This window comes from Homo sapiens, chromosome 7 (genome assembly GCF_000001405.40).
Source record: "Homo sapiens chromosome 7, GRCh38.p14 Primary Assembly".
Classification (NCBI taxonomy): Eukaryota; Metazoa; Chordata; class Mammalia; order Primates; family Hominidae; genus Homo; species Homo sapiens.
In genome coordinates, this window is record NC_000007.14 from 156411612 (window position 1) to 156433325 (window position 21714).

At 43.4% G+C, this 21714-nt stretch overlaps 1 long non-coding RNA gene across 1 annotated transcript; it reads right to left on the bottom strand.

Annotated features, from left to right (window-relative positions):
- Nucleotides 1-20757: 20757 nt before the first annotated feature.
- Nucleotides 20758-21395, bottom strand: LOC105375599 (uncharacterized). The gene is made up of 2 exons (XR_928244.2): nucleotides 21359-21395; nucleotides 20758-21268 (listed from the first exon to the last, which is right to left on the bottom strand). It is a non-coding gene; the product is annotated as an uncharacterized LOC105375599 (long non-coding RNA).
- Between the last annotated feature and the right edge of the window lie 319 nt (nucleotides 21396-21714).

Genomic DNA, 21714 nt, shown 5'->3' on the forward strand with positions numbered 1-21714 from the left:
GATTTTATAATGGTTATCTGTGGGAGTGTTAAGATGACCCACCTATTCTGCTGCCACAGACTTGAACTCCCATGTTCTGGGTTTTGATTCTTGCCTTCCGTTAAACCCAGTGATTCCCCATATCGAGTTGTAACCTGAACTAGCATTGGCTAGTTTTCTTCCTGTATCTTTCCCAGCAGAAGTTCTTATACTACTTAGAGTATCAGAGCAGGTCAGGATTGCCTCTCAACGTTTCTCTCAAACTCTGAAGACAAGTAGAACAGAAAGTTGAGAAGCACTATCAGAAAATTAATCTAAATTTGTCATGCTCCTCCTCAGAAAAGCAACCACAATCACTTCTCATAGACAGTATTTTGAAGCTCAGGTTGAGACTGTATCCCTTTTTAAAACTAATTTGGTAGAAAAAAAAAACAGATGAGCTGGGAATCTTCAGAAATTCTGTTTCTGGGAATAAATGCTCCACCTTGTTCCCTTTTCCTACCTATCTTACAGCTGGCCAACATTTTATCACATTACTGTGTTTTTTAAAATTGTGACCTGATGTCATTTTATTAGATCCTAGACCTGAAAAAGCAGAGGGAACGGGCTGTGACCATTGACAATAGCCAAGCTGATCCTGGACGTGCACCCAGGCTTGCCATCCCTGCAATCTGCGACCGTTGACGACAGCCAAGCTGATCCTGGACGTGCACCCAGGCTTTCCATCACTGCAATCATCTGTCCTTTTCTTTTTCCTCTGTAGGGCAACATAAACTTAAGAGAAAGGTGCTCAATAATTAATTCTGCCATTTTAAAGGAAGCCAGCGATCATCGCTGTGTATTTTGAGGAAAATAATATATTAATATTTAAGGAAAACATAGAAGGAAAAGAAACACATGCCCCACCAGAGTGACAGTGCTAAGTGTTGCAGAGATGTGGAGTAATTGAAATGTTCATCACTGCTGGTGGATGTGAGCATTGGCACAGCCATTTTGGAAAATATTTTGGCATTATCCTGTAATGTTGAACATACATATACCCTTCAACCCAGAAATTGCTCTCTTCATTTATTCCCTAAATAATCTCATGCATATGTGTACCAAGGCCCAAGAACACGTAAAAGAATGTTCTTCATAGCATTTTTGTATGATAGCCAAAACTTAGAAACAATCCAAATAGTGACCAGTAGGAGAATGAATAAAAGTATTTGAGTATATTTACATGATGGAACACTATACAGAAATACAATTAAAACTAAATGAAAATGAAAATAAACTATAACAACATGTGACATCATGGGTGAGCTTTACTAACATATTAATGGCAAAAACTGCAATTAATTTTGCACAAACCTAATATTAGCCAATAGAAACAAGATGCCAAAGAATACAGACTACATGACTCCACTCATATAAAGTTCACAACAAACCTTTTTAATTCTATGATTTAGCGATGCATAGATAGGTGGTAAAACTACAAGGCAAAGCAAAGAACAATGACCATAAATGGGACATAAATAGGGGAGGGGAGGAGGTATGGTAAGAGAGGTGGGTTCACATTTTGTTTATAATTATTTATTAAAGTATGCATTTATGCTTAATGCACTTTGCCATACGTATATTTCACAATGACATCTTTAAAAATATAATAAAAATAGGGAAATATTAAGGACCATGAAGCCCTCTGAATATTTGGTACTTTGGTATTTTTAGTGCCTTGAGAAAGTTTTGCAATACACTGGACTTTCAGGGCTTCCGGGCTTCCTCTGCCCCCACTCACACTGGCCTCTCTGACTATCCTGGGCTCACCAGGGCCCTCACATGCACCCTTCTCTCTGACTCCCCTCAGATGTCTGGGCATCTCTCTCCTCACCTCCTCCTTTACTCAAATACAATGGCACCACTTAAAATCGCAGCCCCATCCCCCAGACACTCCCCACGCTTATGCTAACAAGGTGCTTTTTACTCATTTATTTTGTTGATTGTCCTTGTTACGCTAAGTGCTCCATGAATCAAAGTTTCTCCACTTTGCTCACTGCTGTGTTCCCAGTACATAGAATAGGGCCTTGTACATAGCAGGGTCTCAATAATGTTTGTTGAATGAATAAAGAAATGAGTGCAGCGATACGTCCATGGTAGAGGCATGAGGAAATGCATGCAGCAATGCATGGTGGATGAATGAGGAAAGGAGCACAGACATGCATGTTGGATGAATGAGAAAATGGGCAGAGCTATGCATCTGTGGTGGAGGCCTGAGGAAATCCATGCAGCAATGCATGGTGGCTGAATGAGGAAGTGTGCACAGCCATGCAACCATGGTAGAGGCATGAGGAAATGCATGCGGCAATGCATGGTGGAGGCATGAGGAAATGAGCAGAGCCATGAATCCATGGTGGAGGCATGAGGAAATGCACAGCGATGAATCCATGGTGGAGGCATGAGGAAGTGTGCAGCAATGCATCCATGATGGACACATGAGGAAATGCGCGAGGAAATGAATGAGAAGCAGCCTCCTCCTCAGACTCCCATCCAAGGGTCCACTGAGGCCACAAATTGTTCCATTGTCCCTGATTCCCTAATACCCATGAGTTCAGCCAAGAACACTGGGCACACTCAGCACTATCCTGACCCCTGCATCCTACAGCACTACCCTGACCCCTGCATCCTACAGCGCTATCCTGACCCCGGCTCATCAGAGGCTCCATCTGCTTCCTGAGCTGCCAATTGGCCATGACTGTGGTATCGAGCAAGACCAGGACACAGCAAACCCATCGGGGCCAAAAATCATCTTTTTGTGCCCAGAATAATACCATTTCCACTAATTCGCCTGAAAAAAAATAAAAACCCACACCTTCCAAGAGAGTTAGCATCTTTAATGCTCTTGTGAGTGTTTACCAAAAGCACTGTTAAATGTTGACATTTCCCGAGGGCTTGTTATTGGCCTGTGGAGTGCTGGGCCTCTGGGGTGGGAGAAAGCACAGGGCACATCTCTGTCCTCCACCTCGACTCATGCAGACGAAACTGACCTAGAACTATGGAGGCGCTCAAGCTCAGAGGAAAGTGATGATTTAAGCACAGTGCAATTTGTCCATGGACAGAGCAGGCAGGACACACACTGGGAAAGTGAGAGAGGGGGGCCTCTGTGCTGGGGGACCTGGGAATGAAACGTTGTGAACAGCGCAGAATTGGCTGAGCTGAGCAGAGACAGTGAGACCGAGGGAGGGGACTTGAGGGCCAGAAGGGAGGGACATGTCTTCCACCTTTCCACTGCCACTGTCCCAGGGAGGCTGCCTGCAGACAGGGCTCAAAAGTTGAGAAGGAATTCACACTCTGTGTTCCTACGCTGTGAGTTTCCTCCATCTGACTTCACCCCGAAGCTTTGTGTTTCAGTAATGTCAGAGCTAAGCACTGGAAAGAGCACCGAGGCCACCCGCTAGGACGTTCAGAATTGGAAAGGAAAGGGATGTGTTTTTCACTTGCTTTTTCACTCAGTCACCACTGACTGTACACTAAAGTAACAATCACAGAAGCTGCTTCACTGAATCCTAGCTACATAAACGTACAACACACAGGAGAAATCACAATAACCCTGCAAAGGCAGAACTTGTACACAGATGAGGAGGCTGAAGTTAGGAGCGAAGGGAAATGGCTCCTCCGGCACCCCAGAGCTGGGCTGGCAGGGTTCTGACTCAGGTCCAGTCGATAGCAGACGCCTTCCCACTGTGCTGTGATGTCTTCCCATGGAATCCCATAGGAATGCCGGTGCCAGGGACAAGAACAAGACCCATACGTTAGACTTTCCACTTTCCATTCTACACGACTCGCTATTGGAAACAGCACCACTACCTAACAAAGACAAGACACGCTGCCTGTCATTCAGCCTCTCTCACCGTGTGGCTTAACTGCCTTTTCAGGCTCACTTCCCACCTCCTCATGGCACCCCATGCCACAGCTGACCAACACAGCAAAAGTCCCAGCAGGCAAGATCCCCTGTGTCTGCTCCTTTCCTTAGTCAATTTCCTAACCACCTCCTGACCCACCTCCTACTGCATGCCACATCCCAGTCCACATAAAACGCCACCTTAGGAATGTCTGCATCCTCCTAAATGCCCAGGGCTCCTCCAAAGACAGTTACGCCCTTAAGTGGAAGTTGTATATGTTCACGATGGGACAACTTTGCCATAAAAGGACACGCGCTTTTGAAATTCTGTATTATTTGCAGGACTCAGAACTAGCAAAGTGCTTGTCCCGCTGTTCAGTCGTCATTACCGCCCTGATCAGCAGGTCCTCGACACCGTGGCCCTGGGAACACATGACGGTTTCACCATTTTTACCAAAACTACAGCAGAACAGTGTTTTTCCTTGGATGTGACTGTTAGCTTCAATGGGTGTTTTAAGGGAATTTGCACAGCAGCTTCCTGCTGACCACAAACACCAGATGCCTAGGCAGCACTGCCAGCAGGGAGAGCCTGGCCTAGTCTCAGGCCCACGGAGGATGGGGCGTGGCCTCTGTCCAAAATTGCTCCTCTGTCCCTGGACTTATCCTTTTAATTCAAAGCCTGCTCCCCGTCTGAATTGCAACTATGTCCAAAAGGGGTAACACAAATTGATTCTTGTCACTAACATTAGGTCCCCTGTTTGTATGGCATTTCCCTCCAAGAGCTGCCACCCTGGTCCCCACCTGAGGCCCTGGAGGAGAGAGGATCACTTGACTGTGGGCCGCTCAGCCCCGACTGTCTGGGATTCGCCAGCACAAAGTGCCCATGACCTGGCCTGGTCCTGCCTTGCCTCTGCTTGCTCTTGAAGTTTAGCACCCACCCGGAGCCCAGCTCTCAGATGGGGCTCTCGCCTTGTTCTCTGTCCTGTGACCCACCTGCTGCTCTGCTCTTTGATGCCCGGAATCTGATTGTATGCTTGCAAGTTTTCCTCTCTGGCACTAACCCAGGGACTGCCCCTTCTGCCTGGGACTGGCCTCTCCAAAGCTGGCTGTCAACAAGCTCCTCCAATTTTGGCTTTTCCAGATTTCACTTGCCCCCAGCCTCTCTGTCCAGCTGTAGCTAATCAGACGATGCAGCCACGGCAAGAAAATACGGCATAAATATTTCAATCAAAGCAAAGATCCTGATAGAGACAGAGTTTCAGGACTTTGCGTAGGTGGGTGCGTGCACACACGTGTGCATGTTCTGTACAAAACCCCGTGTGAATCAGTACCCTGTACAGAGGAAGGAAAAGGTGGAAGCTGGAGACCAAAAGCCAACTTCACCAACCCCACAGTTTTGCTGCAGCCACAGGTGACGGGTATCAGAGCCGCTGATTTCCAATCGCTGTGCTCACATGTGACGGGCCAGGGATGCCACCCTGAGATGCAGCGTCTGCAGGCATCATGCTCTGTGCAGGCAGAAGACCATCGCTAATAGGCCCAGGATGAGCATGCCAGCCGGGCCCCCCCAGGGCTCTCGATCATGAGCCATCACAGCTCCAGGCTGATGCACATACAACAGCTCCAAGTACTCTTACTCCCAGCTCAGCCAGGAGCTCCCCCAAAAGTCATAACGGTCCTCATCTTTCAGGGGAAGAGCCAAACGTGGAGGTAATGGTCAAGAGCTTGGCCACTTCTGAGATTTTTTATTATTGTCCTTTGAAAGCAGAGAACAGGAGAGATGCACTGGTGCATGTACAGCAAGCAGGTGCAGCATCAGTGCAAACACACACCCAGGCGGGGGTCTGATCCACACTAGGCAAGGTTCTGCAGGCCATCACCTTCTCCATGGCAAGCTCATCTGAAGCCCAATCCACCTGCTCTTCACTGTGTCCCTTTGACACAAACCACTCAACTCAGAACTGACAAGAGAGTTGGTTTGGGGCGCACACAATCAAGCTTGTTTGAGACCAGTTCATGACCAACCATTCTCCAAAGCCTGCAGCTGAGACTCCAGGCCTCAGTGGTCTCCTTTCTCCTAAAATCCGATTGTCCCTGCTGTTTGAAATAACCCATGGTTCTATATGGTCCCATCATGGTCACTAATTGTCTGCTGTGAGTCCATCTAGACCTCCTAGCTGGATCATGGACTTCTGATTGGCCACCCTCTTGCCTCTTTTGTAGCCTCCACAACACCAAGGAATGGGGTCAGCCACATGAGGCCATGCTTACTCAGCCATGTTGGTTCTAAAATCTCCCATGGAGGGACCCTAAAGATTCCCCAATCCGGCCAGATGCAGTGGCTCACGCCTGTAATCCAAGCACTTTGGGAGGCCGAGGCAGGTGGATCACCTGAGGTCAGGAGTTCGAGACCAGCCTGGCCAACATGGTGAAACCCCATCTCTACCAAAAATACAAAATTAGCTGGGTGTGGTGGAACATGACTGTAATCCCAGCTACTCGGGAGGCTGAGGCAGGAGAATCGCTTGAACCCAGGAGGCAGAGGTTGCAGTGAGCTGAGATCATATACCATTGCACTCCAGCCTGGGCAACAAGAGCAAAACTGTCTCAAAAAAAAAAAAAAGATTCCCCAATCCAGCCACCCACATGATGTTTGAAGATGATATAGTAACATAATTTTGGAGGCCATACAAGAAGTTTAGATTTTAGATCTTCACAACAAACTTTAATTCCAATTTTGGTTTTAAGTTAAGTGCCTACCCTGGGTCAGGCACCTACAGGGGCCCAAGTACACACTGACATCTAAAACAAGACACAATCCCTGACCTCAAAAGATTCAGAGTCGATGAGGAAGAGAGACGATCCCATGTAAACAAATAAGTAAATATGTGATTGTAAATATTGTAAATGTCAGCAAAGGAAATGAACAGTGGAAAAGCATAGTCAGTCTGGAGGAAGGAACTTTCCAACAGAAATATTTATTACAAAGCTCAAAGGTCATCTCTGAGAGCTATAGTTTAATCTTAATGGAGGGTAATACTACTTTTGACAAACTGCACAGCCATAATTCTCCATTAAAGCCAGGAAAAAAGCATAAGAATCTCTTTACCTTGGTAAAATGTAAGAAAATGTGAGACTTATTCTACTAAGGGCCTCTCCAGGCTTGTGAATGTTTTTTCGCCCCCTGCACTCCCTGTTCCTTACAGGCAGACAATCTCGAAGATCAGCAGAGAAAATGAGGCCATGCAATTTAAGATTACATAAACACAGAAGTCAGGCGAGGTGAGAACATTTTGAATCTGCACTTCTGTTTAGCTGAACACTCTTCATTAAGAAATCCATGAGCCTCCAAATGCCTCTCCTCATTGTCTGAGATGTTCATCGTCTGATGCTAGGAACAGGGTCTGATGAAAGTGATGACACCACAAGTTCTCACTGGGCCCAGTCAGGCCGCTGAAATTACCTGGGGTGGATTTTGAATTCCTTACTAATTTGACTGAGTGTATTCCCAAATCCAGCTCTTAGGCTGGAAAATGCATACATTATGTTTCTTCATGATCACAAAGCTTTTCATTTCTCCAGCTCGATTATAATTTGAAAGTATCTAAACTTCACCTTGGTGGTTTGGTTTATCTATTAATAACTGGATCTTCAGAATTAATCTCTTGTAAAAAAGCTCTTCTTCAGACACCTAATTCTAGTTTCTCAACATGCCATGGAAAAATTTCTGGTTTTCTACAAATTTTGGAGTCTCTGAAAGCTTCTGGGGTTGGACGGAGAGTGCTGAAGGCTTCCTCTTTTTAACCAGAGTAATTGTCATGCTTCTACTTCTATTTGAGCAAAGATACAAGGTACTTATTAGAAGATGCAAAAGTATATCATTGATTGATCCAACATCTTGTCACAGTGTACTAACCAAAAAAGCAATCTGCACAAACAACTGGGTTTCTAATTAGAGTAAACCACCAATCAAATTCTTAATTTCAACCAAGCTCCTGGGAAACATAAATCATGGACTGAATGGTGTGGAAGGTCCATGTATTGATGAAGGCCCTCCCGGAGGGAAGCCTCCAGGGCTCTGCCAGAAGGCTCCATGTGTGACCCTGTTCTGACGGATATTCTTATCAACAATTTGGGTAAACTACTGCAAAGTACATTCATCAAGTGCATCTGTGACAAGGCTGAGGAGAAATAATATGTGGCATTACAAATAATTGACAGGCTAAAAAAAAAATCTCTAAACAGCTGAAACTAACTGTCTATAAAAAGTCCTGCGATTCAAAATTTCAGTGGCATTGTTCAGAATCTAGGGGAAACTGATGATAGCCATTTATGTTCAGAAAAAAAAAATTCAGAGTTTTTTTTAATGACAGCATTTAAATCCAGTCCATCAGAGGACAGGTGATTAAATTCCCCCATCCGGGGCTGTGCCTTGTTTGCTCGGCATCACACCCAGTAACAAGCACATATTAAGCACTTAGTAAACATATGCTGGGTGAGTTAATTGTGAAACCATGTAAAGTGGGCATGAAAGAAGCCCCGGTATGGCCTGTTCCCATGACACTTCTCTGTCCAGGCAAGAACAGAATGGCCCCATGGGGCTAACACTGGCCAGCATCCATTGGTAATTCCAGTTTGGTACAGACACTGTGTTGCAAGCCCAAAAGTAGAAAAATGAGATATTGAGGCAATGTTGAAACTGTGTTGTAAGATGAACCTGGTGAAGACACTGTAAGTATTCATATTGCGGAAAAAAAAAAAAAAACAAGCAAAAACCAAGGTAAGCATGATGACCGCTTTCACTGACTGAAGGACTGTCATATGGAAGTGGGTTTACTTTTTGTAGAACCTGAGTTCAGAACAAGGACCAAGGGATTGACCTCCAGGGAGACATATTTTTGTTAGAGCAAGAAAGAATTTTATCCAGACACAGAATTGCCAGGCCATAAAACAACCAGCCTTGGACAGCGATGATTCCTCTGGACAGCGATCATCTCTCCATCATGGACCTATCAAAGAATGATCCAATGACCTCCTACAAGAACTGCTAAAAGAGGAATCTATCTGCTCTTACAACAAAGCCTACAATGAGCACCTACTGTGTGTCTGGTGTACCATGAGGATGAGGCAGAGAAAGACTTTGCCAGGAAATGTTGCCACATGTGGATGTCCTCAGTGTTGGGAGAGACGTACCTCATGCAGAGAACTCACCTGTGTTGAGGTTTGAAGGGGGAGGTGGGGCAGGAGGTGGTATGGAAGGTGACAGGAGCCAGATGTGTGGAGAATGTCATGCCAGACACCTCTTCCCTGGGGTCTTTCATAAGTCTGATGTTTCAAATACCCTGGTATCAAGTGAACATCATTGAGTATTTCAGAATCTCCAAAGAAAACAGATTTAAGATACAACTCCAGGCCCTGACTGGATCTTCCAGGCAGATCCCCTGACCATAACCTCAACTCTAAATAGAAGAGCTTCCAGATTCACCCAGCAATAGATCTATTAAGGAGTTTCTGCTAATAAGCCATCTGTAGTCACACCACCACAGCATGGAACACACTTATCCATGGAAGAGGGTCATTAATCCTTACAAGGGGCATGACTAATGGAGTCCATCATTTCCACTAATTTAAAATCATCCAGTAAAGCTTCCAAGAGCCTCCAGAGGTTAGAACTCCCAGGATTGCCTGGGACAAGCCAATGCTGCAAGCATTGGTAAACATGTGAATCTAAACGTTTTTCTGTTTGTTATGTAGAGTTACTCCTGAATATATACCACATTGTTTTAAAAAGTTTAAAAAGCAATCCCACCTTGCTATAGTTTGGATGTGGTTTGTCCCTGCCAGAACGCATGTTGAAATTTGATCCCCAGTGTGGCATTGTTGGAGGTGGGGCCGAGTGGGCAGTGTTTTGGTCATGGGGGTGGATCCCTCATGAACAGATTAATGTCTTCCCTCAGGAGTAAGTTCTGGCTTTCACAGGAATTGATTAATTTCCATAAAAGCTGGTTGTTAAAGAGTTTCACTTCCTCCGTTTCTCTCTCTTGCTTCCTCTCTGGCCATGAGATTCCTCTGTACACGCCTACTCCCCCTCCTCTTTTCACTATGAGTGGAAGCAACATGAGACCCTCACCAGACACAGCTGCCCAATCTTGGACTTTCCAATCACCAGAATCATGAGCCAAATACGCCTCTTTTCTTTATACAGAATACCCAGGCTCAGGTATTCTGTTATAGCAACACAAAATGGACTAACATAGACCTCCAGAAAACAATAGTCAAGATCTTTGGACCAAGTGACTTCCAACAGGAAAATCCTGAAGGGAGAAAATTGGGCAAAATGAACCTTTCTTAATATTACAAAAGCCTAATGCCAACAATGCATCTACTCAAAAGGAAGCTGCCCAGCAGTTATTTCACAAACACATTGTGCTGTGCAGACAATTCTTTCCAAATATATTGTTCAAAGTGTGTGGAAAATCATAAAATATGGTTTGGTTGTGAAAAACTTGTTCATCATTGAGCTAGTACACAGCTTCATTTCATATGTGAGAACAGCAAAAGAAAAGAATTGACTTAGATTAGCATTTTCCAAAGTGATTCTGCAGAATGTTGCTGTCTAGTGAGCTGTTAACAGGTATTAGGGGAAATAAGAGCTCCCATGGACAAACAAGTTGAGAAAAAACAACAAACCTTCCTTTTGGAGTCAAAATATGTATTAATTTATTAAAATGTCTGAGAGGTTCTGCAATTTATCTGTTTAACCAAACATTTTCCAAACATGTGTGATCTCAAGACTATTTTCCCACCACATAGCAATTAATACCTTGGAAAGACTCTGAGATTTTGACTCAGACACATAGAATGTTGGGGTGACTGTCCCTTTTAGTATCTTCAGTCTACAGTCGAGGAAACTGAGGACCAGAGATAAGAACACACAGGCCAAGACCACACAATGTGATGGGTAGAATGGAAACACAGCTGTTGATCTCTAGGCCAACTCTGAATCTTCCATACCAACCCAATATGCTCGTCAGTTCTGTGAACTAAAGTTGCCTCAACATATAGCTAAAACGTTTTGTAAACTTTTGAAGGGTACAGAAAAACAATATGAGAGATAACTACATTTATTAAAGATGTTTTGTTGTTTATTTGTTTTTATATTTTTTTACTTTTTTTTCAACTTTTATTTTAGATTCAGGGGGTACATGTGGCAGGTTTGCAACCAGGATACATTGCAGGATGCTGAAGTTTGGGGTATGAATGATCCTGCCGCCCAGGGACTGAGCATAGGACCCAATAATTCGTTTTTCAACCCTTTCTTCCTTCCTTCCCTCCTCCATCTAGTAGTGCGCCCAGCTTCTATTGTTGCTGTCTTTATGTCTATAAGTACCTGATGTTTAGCTCCCACTTACATGAGAACATGCAGTATTTAGTTTTCTGTTTCTGTGTTAATTCACTTAGGATAATGCCACGTTGCTGCAAAGGACATGATATTTTTTATGGCTGCATAATATTCTGTGCTGTGTATGGACCACATATCTTTATCCAATCCACCATTTAGGTTGACTCCATGTCTTTGCTATTATGAAAAGTGCTGTGATGAACAGGCAGGTACATGTGTCTTTTTGGTAGAAAGATTTGTGTTCTTTTGGATATATACCCAGTAATGGGATTGCTGGGTCACATGCTAGTTCTAAGTTCTTTGAGAAATCTCCAGACTGCTTTCCACAGTGGCTGAACTAATTTACATTCCCACCAAGAGTGTGTAAGCATTCGCTGTTCTCCACAGCCTCACCAGCATTTGTTGTTTTTTGACTTTTTAATAATAGTCGTTCTGACTGGTGTGAGATGGTATCTCATTGTGGTTTTGATTTGCATTTCTCTGATGACTAGTGATTTGGAGGCTTTTCTCATATGTTCATTGGCTGCTTGTATGTCTTCTTTTGATAAGTGTCTGTTACTGTCTTCTGCTCATTTTTTAATAGGGGTATTTGTTTTTTGCTTGTTGAATTAAGTTCCTTATAGATTCTGAATATTATTGTTAGATGCATAGTTTGTTAATATTTTCCCCATTCTGTAGGTTATCTGTTTACTTAATTGGTAGTCTCTTTTGTTGGACAGAAGCTCTTTAATTAGGTCCCACTTGTCAATTTTTGTTTTCATTGTAATTGCTTTTGAGGACATAGTCACAAATTATTTTCCAAGGCCAATGTCCAGATGATGTTTCCTAGGTTTTCCTCAAGGATTCTTATAGTTTGAGATCTTACATTGAAATCATTAGCCCATCTTGAGTTAAATTTTGTATATGGTGAAAGGTAGGGGTCCAGTTTAATTCTTTGGCATATGGCTTGCCAGCTATCCCAGCACCATTTATTGAATAGGGAGTCCTTTCCCCACTGTCTATTTTTGTTGACTTTGTCAAAGATCAGATGGCTGTAGGTGTACAGCTTTATTTCTGGGTTCTTTGTTCTGTTCTATTGTTCTATGTGTCTGTTTTTGTACCAGTACCATGCCTATTCTCACCACTTCTTGTCTTTTTCCACTTCTCAAGGGGAATGTTTCCAGTTGTTGCCCATTCAGTATAATGTTGGCTGTAGGTTTGTCATAGATGACTCATTATTTTGAGGTCAGTTCCTTTGATGCCAAGTTTCTTGAAGGTTTTTATCATGAAGAGATGTTGAATTTTATCCAAAGTTTTTTCCCTGTCTATTGAGATGATTGTATGGTTTTTGTTTTTAATTCTGCTTATGTGGTGAATCACACATTTATTGATTTATGTATTTGAACCAACCTTGCATCCCAGGAATGAAGCCTACTTGATCGTGGTGAATTAACTTTTTGATGTGTTGTTGGATTTGATTTGCTAGTATTTTGTGAAGAATTTTTGAACCTATGTTCATCAGGGATATTGACCTGTACTTTTCTTTTCTCATTGTGTCTTTTCCAGGTATTGGCATCAAGGTGATGCTAGCTGTGTAGCAATGTTAGAGAGGAGTCCTTCCTCTTCAATTCTTTGGAATAATTTCAGTAGAATTGCTAACCACTCATAAAATTGGTAATAGCTCTCTTTTTATGTCTGGTAGAATTCAGCCATGGATCCATTTGGTCTGGAGCGTTTTTTGATTGGTAGGTTTTTTATTATTGGTTCAATATTGGAACTTGATATTGTTCTGTTCAGGGTTTCAATTTCTTCCTGATTCAATCTTGGGAAATTGTGTGTTGCCAGGAATTTATCCATTTCCTCTAGATTTTTAAATTTGTGTGCATAGAAGATGTTTATAATGGTCTCTGAGGATTTTTTGTATTTCTGTGGGATTGCTTTTAATGTCACTTTTGTCATTTATGGTTTGGATTTTCTCTCTTTCTTGTCAATCTAGCTAGCAGTGTATCAATCTTGTTTATCCTTTCAAAGAACAAATTTTTGGTTTCTTTGATTTTTTTTATGGACTTTGGGTCTCAAGTTTGTCCAGTTCTGCTCTAAATTCAGTTATTCTTAAAACGAGCAAGTTTTGTTCATTTCTTTTAAGCCCATTCTTGTTGTTTGTGTTGTGTGTTGTGTGTTTGTGTATGCGTCTGTGTGCATATATACATATGCACACACACACTTGCAGACAAGTTCCCGATTCACTGGTGTTTCTGTAAGCACAGTCTGATTAAAATGTAAAAAAAAAAAGCATTCTGGCTCCCTACAAAGGTTTCAAATGCAACCACTGAAAACACTTTAGGCTAAACCTGAAAAGGGCAGGGGAGGGGAAATCTTATGCAACAATTTCTTGTCTTTGCCAAACACTAGTGCTTCGAAGTGAAGAAGAGAGCTGCACACCTGTGTCCATTGGCATCAAGTTAAATAGATACAAAAAATTAGGCAAACAGCCAATCATCTGTCATCTAAAGATTCACTTGAAGGATTTTAATAGAATTTTTACAAGTAGGGATTTAAAATTTCCATACTTGGAGAGTCTTCCTCAGATATTTACAGAGACATTACAATTTTTTGTGACATTCATGCAAAATTAGGAAGTCATATTAATTATAGATATTTAGAAGCAATCATGTTAATAACTTTGGGGAAACCCAGGTAGGTTTGAGTAAGTGATTGTTTATCACACTTCACCATTTACTTTTGTTTTTACCCTTGATAATTCTGTCTTCATATAATGATAATCATATATCGTTGACAACTTTTATCTCAAATACTCACTGGTATTAACTCTCTGTTACAGATTTCATCACTCATTTGTTCAAGCTTTATGGAATTCCATTCTTTGCCAGGCACTGTTCTCTGCACCAGGGATAGAACTGAACAAACACATAACTCTGTCCTCAAGAAGTTTATGTTCTAGAGAGAATTTTTAACATTTTCCTAAATTTTGTTTTGTAAACCAAACTTCCTCTGTTCCAACAGCAGAAAATAAAAATAAATGGACTATCTGTGAAATCTATTATGAATCTCATTTTGGAAAAGCCATTACCTGGAATTCTGAACTCTGAAATATGTACTTGCTAGGGATTTCCATGACCAACAGGCAATGGTAAGAAATAAATGTCCCTGTATGGATTGTCTCAGGGGCTTCAGGTGCTGTGGCGAGAGTATGCCATTTTAGTTATTTATTTTCATAAGACTCAGGAAGTAGGTATTTTTAAGAACAGTTCTAATAAGACAGGTTTCATAATATAGTGGATAAATAACCACTGGCAGCTTTTAGCACTTTAAAATTTCTAAATTGCTCTCTAGAACCACTTTGTCATTAGCCACATATAGTCCTATGGGGTCAGGTGGGGTGGGAGATAACCCCACTGTAAGCACACTAACTTCTAGCCTCAGAACAAGGCAGCCCACCAGGAGATGGGGCACCTACCCTTGTCACTTGGTCTCTTGCAGAGTTGGCTTCCTGGAGCAATGTGTCTTACTGAGGGTCACTGCAAGAAATCTCTTTATGAAAACGGTCACTCCAAATCTTTCATGGAAAAAATGAGAATATAAATAAGTAATTTCTTGTTGCACTTGTTACTGTTGTGACACTGCACACTAACCCTCAAACCTGATAGAAAAATCCAAGGTAATGCCTTTCGCATTTGGTTTTCAGAAAAGATTTCCTTCTTCCAAAGAACTAAAATGTTTTATTCATGTCTAATGAAAATGTTGCTTCTCACCATGTCTCTACTTTTTTATGCATTCCAAGAAACTCTGAGTCAAATTTGAAGGTGACATATTATGTTTTTGTAGGGCTTTTGGTCCACAAAAGATGGGCCTTTTCTACTAAGTAGGACCACTTTCCTACTTCCATTTTCACACTACTAATTCTTAGTAATGGTGTTTTTTCTGCCTGTTTCAGGCTGTTACGTTTTAATAGTATGATATTTTTCTGCTTGTCTTAACCTGCCTCAAATCCTTTTTGGAGTGAGTAGAATGAGATGGAGTATACTTACATTTATATGCATCCTAAGTTTATAAGTAGAGAAATTAATCATAGACATTATAAGTGCTGGGTCCAAGGTAACAAAGCTTGGATAGACCTAGACTTGGAACCCAGATTTCTGAGCAATTAGTCTGTGTTCATTTTATTATGCCACCTCCGTTCCCCTTATTTTTTTTTTTGGATTGGCAAATTCTTTATTTTTTTATTCCCCTTATTAACTATAAGGTAAATACCAAAGACATCTTGATTGGAAAAGTGTCTGAACTTTACAGAACCATAACACATTTGCTGCCCCCATGAATCTTCTCCGCAAATTGACCCTGTCTAGCTCTACTGTTCAGATTCTCTTCATCAGTCCAGGTCACTAGCACCAGCACAATAAAAATTCACTTCAATTTATCCAAAACCTAAGCTGGTTTGGCCAAACATTGATGATTTAACTATGTGGTTTCAGTCAGTCAGGACTTAAACATTAAGAAAGAAACACAGACCCTAAGGGAAAAAATTGGTTGGCTATGAATGCCGCTGAAGCTAAGATAGATGTCTATGATGTACTCGTAGCTAAAGATAATCTTTTCTTAAAGTTCTTCTTCTGCCTAACAGAATCCCCTTGGACTTACTTAAGTCGAAGTCCAGACATTTGGATTTCATCCAAAATGCTCAGTTCCCAGTTTCAGAAGGAGAACTCAGGCAGTCCCGTCAGTTAAAGAGCGATAGCAGCACAAGAAATGCTGCCATGTCTTTATCAATATTCAAGCCCTGGCTAAGCGATCCAAATCCGGTGTAGGAGTTTGTATTTCTGTCTCTCCATTGATCTAGGAGCCCCAGTGGTGTCATCCCAGGGAGCTGAATGCCAGTTTATTTAATATACTGATCTCTGAATTCCATTAATATAAATGGCCGCCTACAGTGTTAAGCCTGTCCATCGCAAAGACAGATTTCTGCTAAAGCGATGACTACTTAAGGTGCCACCTCTTCGTGATGGTTATTCCCCTGCCTACAATCTCTGGAAATAAAGATTTAATAATAACAATGGGTTTCCAGTGAAGAATTGTAAAGGTCATCAGATGGCCCCGGGGTAGCTGGCCAGTCCAGGCTCTCAGCACCTGACAACAGGCCCACAGCATAACCTAGGTCAACTGAGAGAGGTAACCTATCCCGTTGACTATTTCAACCAACAGATACCCGTGGAGCCCCTTCTAAGATTCAGGCTAGAAATGCTTGCTGTGGATACTGTCATAAATATAAAAGACACTGATGGTTTTCAAGTAAGCAGACTTTCCCAGCTCTGACAAAGGAAGTGGAAGGAACATAGATGGCTGGAAGCCACTATAGATGGACTTCAGAGAAGCTCAGCCTGAGAAAGGGTCTCAGGGAGGGAAGGGAGGGAGCTGCACACAGACAGGGAAGACACAGCCCAGGGAACCACAAGTGCCAGGGCAGAGCCAGGAGCATGTGAGCCCTAAAGTGGCTCCAGAAGCCCACAGATGAGGGGACACACCACTGAGTTTGCAGAAGTGGGAGAAGGGAGCTCAGAGCCACACAGAAAATGGCTGGGAGCTCAGATTGGAAATGCCATAGAAAGCAACTAAAGTCTTTTAAGCAAAAGAATGACAAGATCTGAGTCACATTTTAAAGTCACCAATATGACTTCTGTGTAGACTATAGACATGCAGAGCAAAGGCGGGAACACCAGGAAGGGGCTCCCAGAATCCAGCGCTCATTCTGCAGAGCAAAGGTAGGAACACTAGGAAGGGGCTCCTAGAACCCAGCAGCTCATTATGCAGAGCAAAGGCAGGAGCACCAGGAAGGGGCCCCTAGAACCCAGCCGTTCATTATGCAGAGCAAAGACAGGAACACCAGGAAGGGGCCCCTAGAACCCAGCTGTTCATTATGCAGAGCAAAGGCAGGAACACCAGGAAGGGGCTCCTAGAACCCAGCTGTTCATTATGCAGAGCAAAAGCAGGAACACCAGGAAGGGGCTCCTAGAACCCAGCTGTTCATTGTGCAGAGCAAAGGTAGGAGCACCAGGAAGGGGCTTCTAGAACCCAGCTGTTCATTATGCAGAGCAAAGGCAGGAACACCAGGAAGGGGCTCCTAGAACCCAGCTGTTCATTATGCAGAGCAAAGGTAGGAGCACCAGGAAGGGGCTTCTAGAACCCAGCAGCTCATTATGCAGAGCAAAGGCAGGAGCACCAGGAAGGGGCTCCTAGAACCCAGCTGTTCATTGTGCAGAGCAAAGGCAGGAACACCAGGAAGGGGCCCCTAGAACCCAGCTGTTCATTATGCAGAGCAAAGGCAGGAACACCAGGAAGGGGCTCCTAGAACCCAGCTGTTCATTATGCAGAGCAAAAGCAGGAACACCAGGAAGGGGCCCCTAGAACCCAGCTGTTCATTGTGCAGAGCAAAGGCAGGAGCACCAGGAAGGGGGTCCTAGAACCCAGCAGCTAATATGACTTCAGGAGTGCTTCATGTTCGTCTTTGACTCACCTTCTGGAAGTTTTGCTGTATTTTAGCACTTGCCCAGAAGTACAGGGCTACAGAGAGGTAGAAATGAAGTTAGCTACTCACTAGTAACTCAGATGAGGGAAAAACTCAGGGCTATGTTTAAAGGTGATCAATTACCTGACAGCCAGTTACCAGGCACAGCTGTTCACTGGATATATTTTCATCACTACCATGTCCCAAATATATCCGCTAGAAAGCAACCGAAAATGAAACCATGGCGACTACAACAATTCTCCTACCCACTGATAAAGTTTGCAGATCTTGCCCATAAACCTGAACTAAACTTTAGTCATTCAAGTTAGCCCACAAGGAGTCCCTGCCGTGCCATGGGAGGTCAATCTCGCATGAGGAGCACCTGGTTGCCTTGGCCTCTCAGCTGTGCAGCTCCCAGTTAGGCCTCTGAGCTATAGCTCCCTCAGAGGTCAGATGGTTTTCAAACTGTTTCCTCAGGAGATGCTCAGGGCCCAGGACATGAGAGGGAGACCAAAGGGATGGGGCTCCAGGCCTCACCCCTGACTCAACTGGATCAGCCAGGTAGTATCTGTTTCCTCCCTGAGGCTCTGAGATTTCATTTTAAAGTAGGATTCCCCTGTCCCAGAATACTGCAAATTATGTAACTAGATGATCTCAGAGGACACTTGTAATTCTGCAATCTGCCATTTGTCACTTAGCCAAAGCCCAAGCGACCAGCCTCTACTTTCACTGCTGCAGCCAAGACCGCCATGACTCTTTTCGCTGGACCCACAGTCCTTGTCCTACTCGACCCAGAAGCAACATTTGAGGCTGTGGACCAATGGCCTCCCCCTGGGGACTCACTTCTCACCCACACTTGTGGCCTCGAATGCCATCAGCAGACTGATGCTTCCACAATGTATACATCCAGCCCAGGTCCCTCTCCCCAGTGGCGCCAGGTTGTATACGTCCAGCCCAGGTGTCTCTCCCCAGTGGTGCCAGATGCACATTTCAGCTTCTGGAAACCTCTGTTTGCAGTTCCCACAGCAACAGAAACTCAACATGGTCACAATGGAGCCTCCTACTTTTCCCAAAGCCTGGCTTTCCTCATTTGCATATCTCATTGTAGCTATGCGTAACAGTCTTCTCATGCTTAAGGTCTCCCATATAATGAGCTCGGAAGTTGTGTGTGTGTGCACTTTCGCATATGTGCACATTTGTATAAAATCTGCATCCTCGGTTAAGGCTAGAGCTTAATAAGCTATTAATTTGTCATCTCTCCTCTCCATTATCCTGACCCCTTACATTCAGTATCTATTTCCTAGACCAAAAACGTACTAACCTAGGCACCATTTATTCAGGACCTAACTAAGGAGCAGCCAGTCAGATTGATAAACTAATGTGACACCAGCTGAGTCGATGGGGTAATAGACCAGGCAGCATTCTTGGATGTTATAGAACTCTTCTGGAAGCAAAGGCTAAACCTAAATGGCTTTGACCCTTAATTGTGGACAATTTTAGACATCATAGGAAGCTGGATGCTTAAAAATCACATTCACTGAGCAGAGCCCTTGGTAACCTCCATATTCCACCGCCTTTGGGAACGCCTGCTCACCCTGACGCACACAAGTTGTTCCTCACCACTTTAATAAAATTTTGCTTTGTTAATCCTAAACAATTTTGCAGTTCATATTAGATAGTACTTTTAAGCCTCAGACATATCTCTTATATAGTAGTGTTGTGTAGACAACAAAGATTCTGGAAATAAGAGGATAAAGGAGAGGACTGTGATAGCAATATTGCACCACCAGGGAGAAATCACAAGGCTGCAGGCCATTTCTAAAGCACTTGTGATCAACTCCTGCATATACAATGCCATAGTTACCCAAATCAATATTTCAGGACAGCAACCACAGAGAATATTTTCTAAGCATTAATTATAGCTAATGTGTAAATCAAAGGATAAAAGCACTGTCACTAACTGCCCTTTATTTGTTCTTAAAATTCTATCTGCAGTTGCTTTATATTTGAATATCTTCATTCGTTATCAGAGACCATTCACAGGGAGAGAAGGCAATTATTGAACACAATCAACTTTCTTTGCCCATATGTTTCCCTGTGTCATTAGATGAATAACTCTCTCTATTTCATCCCTCTGATATCTTCTCCACACGTGTAAATCCTAAAGAACCATTTTGGTAACCTCACACTACTCAGACTATTTTGGAATATTCTATCCAACTATGGATGTCATATATTAAAAGTGTTGGCAAGCTAGGTGATATGGTTTGGATCTGTGTCCCCACCAAAATCTCATGTAGAATTGCAATCCCAAATGCTGGAGGTGGAACCTGGTGGAAGACGACTGGATCATGGGGGCGGGTTCTAATGATTTAGCACTATCCCCCTAGTACTGTTCTTGTGATAGAGTTCTCATGACTGTTTAAAAGTGTGCGGCACCTCCCCTGTCTCTCTTCCTCCTGCTCTGGCCATGGAAGAGGTGCCTGCCTCCCCTTTGCCTTCCACCATGATCGTAAGTTTCCTGAGACCTCCCCAGAAGCTGAGCAGAAGCCACAATGCTTCCTGTACAGCCTGTAGAACCATAAGCCAATTAAACCTATTTTTTTTTGTAAATTACCCAGTCTCAGGTATTTCTTTATAGCAATGTAAGAACGGATTAATACACTACAATTCATCCAGAAGAGGGTGATGACGAGGATGCAGTGATAGAAACTGCCACTTAAGGAACTATCAAAAATGAGGACAGAGAAGAGAGGGTTTGGAGAGGACATGATGGCTGTTTCGAAGCACCTGCAGGTCACGTGGAACGGGAGGAGCACGTTCAGGTCCCTCAAAGGGAGCGCAGTAGCTAATGGTGCAGATAGACTCTGGGTTCCAACCCTGACTCCAGCCAGCGCTCGCTGCATGGCCTCACGGGGGTCCTGGGATCACCTCGCCCAGCTGTGGGGCAACTGCATGAGACAGTCAAGGAAAGTAGTAGTTCTTGGCACATGGGAAGGCACTCAATAAATTTTATTGACAAACTAATCAACAGCAGTTTGAAAATCTACAAAGAATTCCCTGCAAAAAAAAAAAAATTTCCAAACTGAAGTCAGAGGTAACTCTATTTGTTGACCGTGGTGAAATCTGAGGTTGTCCAAAGGCAGTTGGCAAAGAATATCATCCACACCTGTCTGCCGGGGTCCGTAGCACCTTGCTGCACTGCACCATTGGCTCTCACGGGCCCCCAGCTCCCCAACTCATCCCACGGATCTTGGGACTCATCAGCCTCCATAATCATGTGAGCCAATTCCTCATCATAACTCTTGTTCTTTCCTTCTTATTGGTTCTGCTTCTCTAGAAAACCCTGACTGATAGATCCAAGTCTCTCTGGCTCCCCCGTTCACACACAGCCCTTCAGACCACAGCTGCAATCTCAGTCCTCTCTAGCTTCCAAGCCTGCTCTTGAAGAGAACAGCTTCCTAACGGTACATTTGTAGGCCGGTACTGCAAGGAGATTTTCAGTAGGCTTGGAAAAGAGGAAAAATATTATGATTAATGACAATCTGGGAGTTTTTACTTAAGCTAATTTTTTTATTCTAATATAATGTCCTCGTACCATTTTGCTGTTTTGTTTTGTTTTGATGGAGTCTCACTCTGTTGCCCAGGCTGCAGTGCAGTGGTGCTATCTTGGCTCACTGCCAGCTCTGCGTACTGGGTTCATGCCATTCTTCTGCCTCAGCCTCCTGAGTAGCTGAAACTACAGGCACCCACCATCATGCTCAGCTAATTTTTTTTTGTATTTTTAGTAGAGACGGGGTTTCACCATGTTAGCCAGGATGGTCTCGATCTCCCTGACCTCGTGATCCACCCACCTTGGCCTCCCAAAGTGCTGGGATTACAGGCGTGAGCCACCACACCTAGCCCCATTTTGGTTTTAAATGCTATGTCTTTTGTGGGATTGTGGTGAGAAAA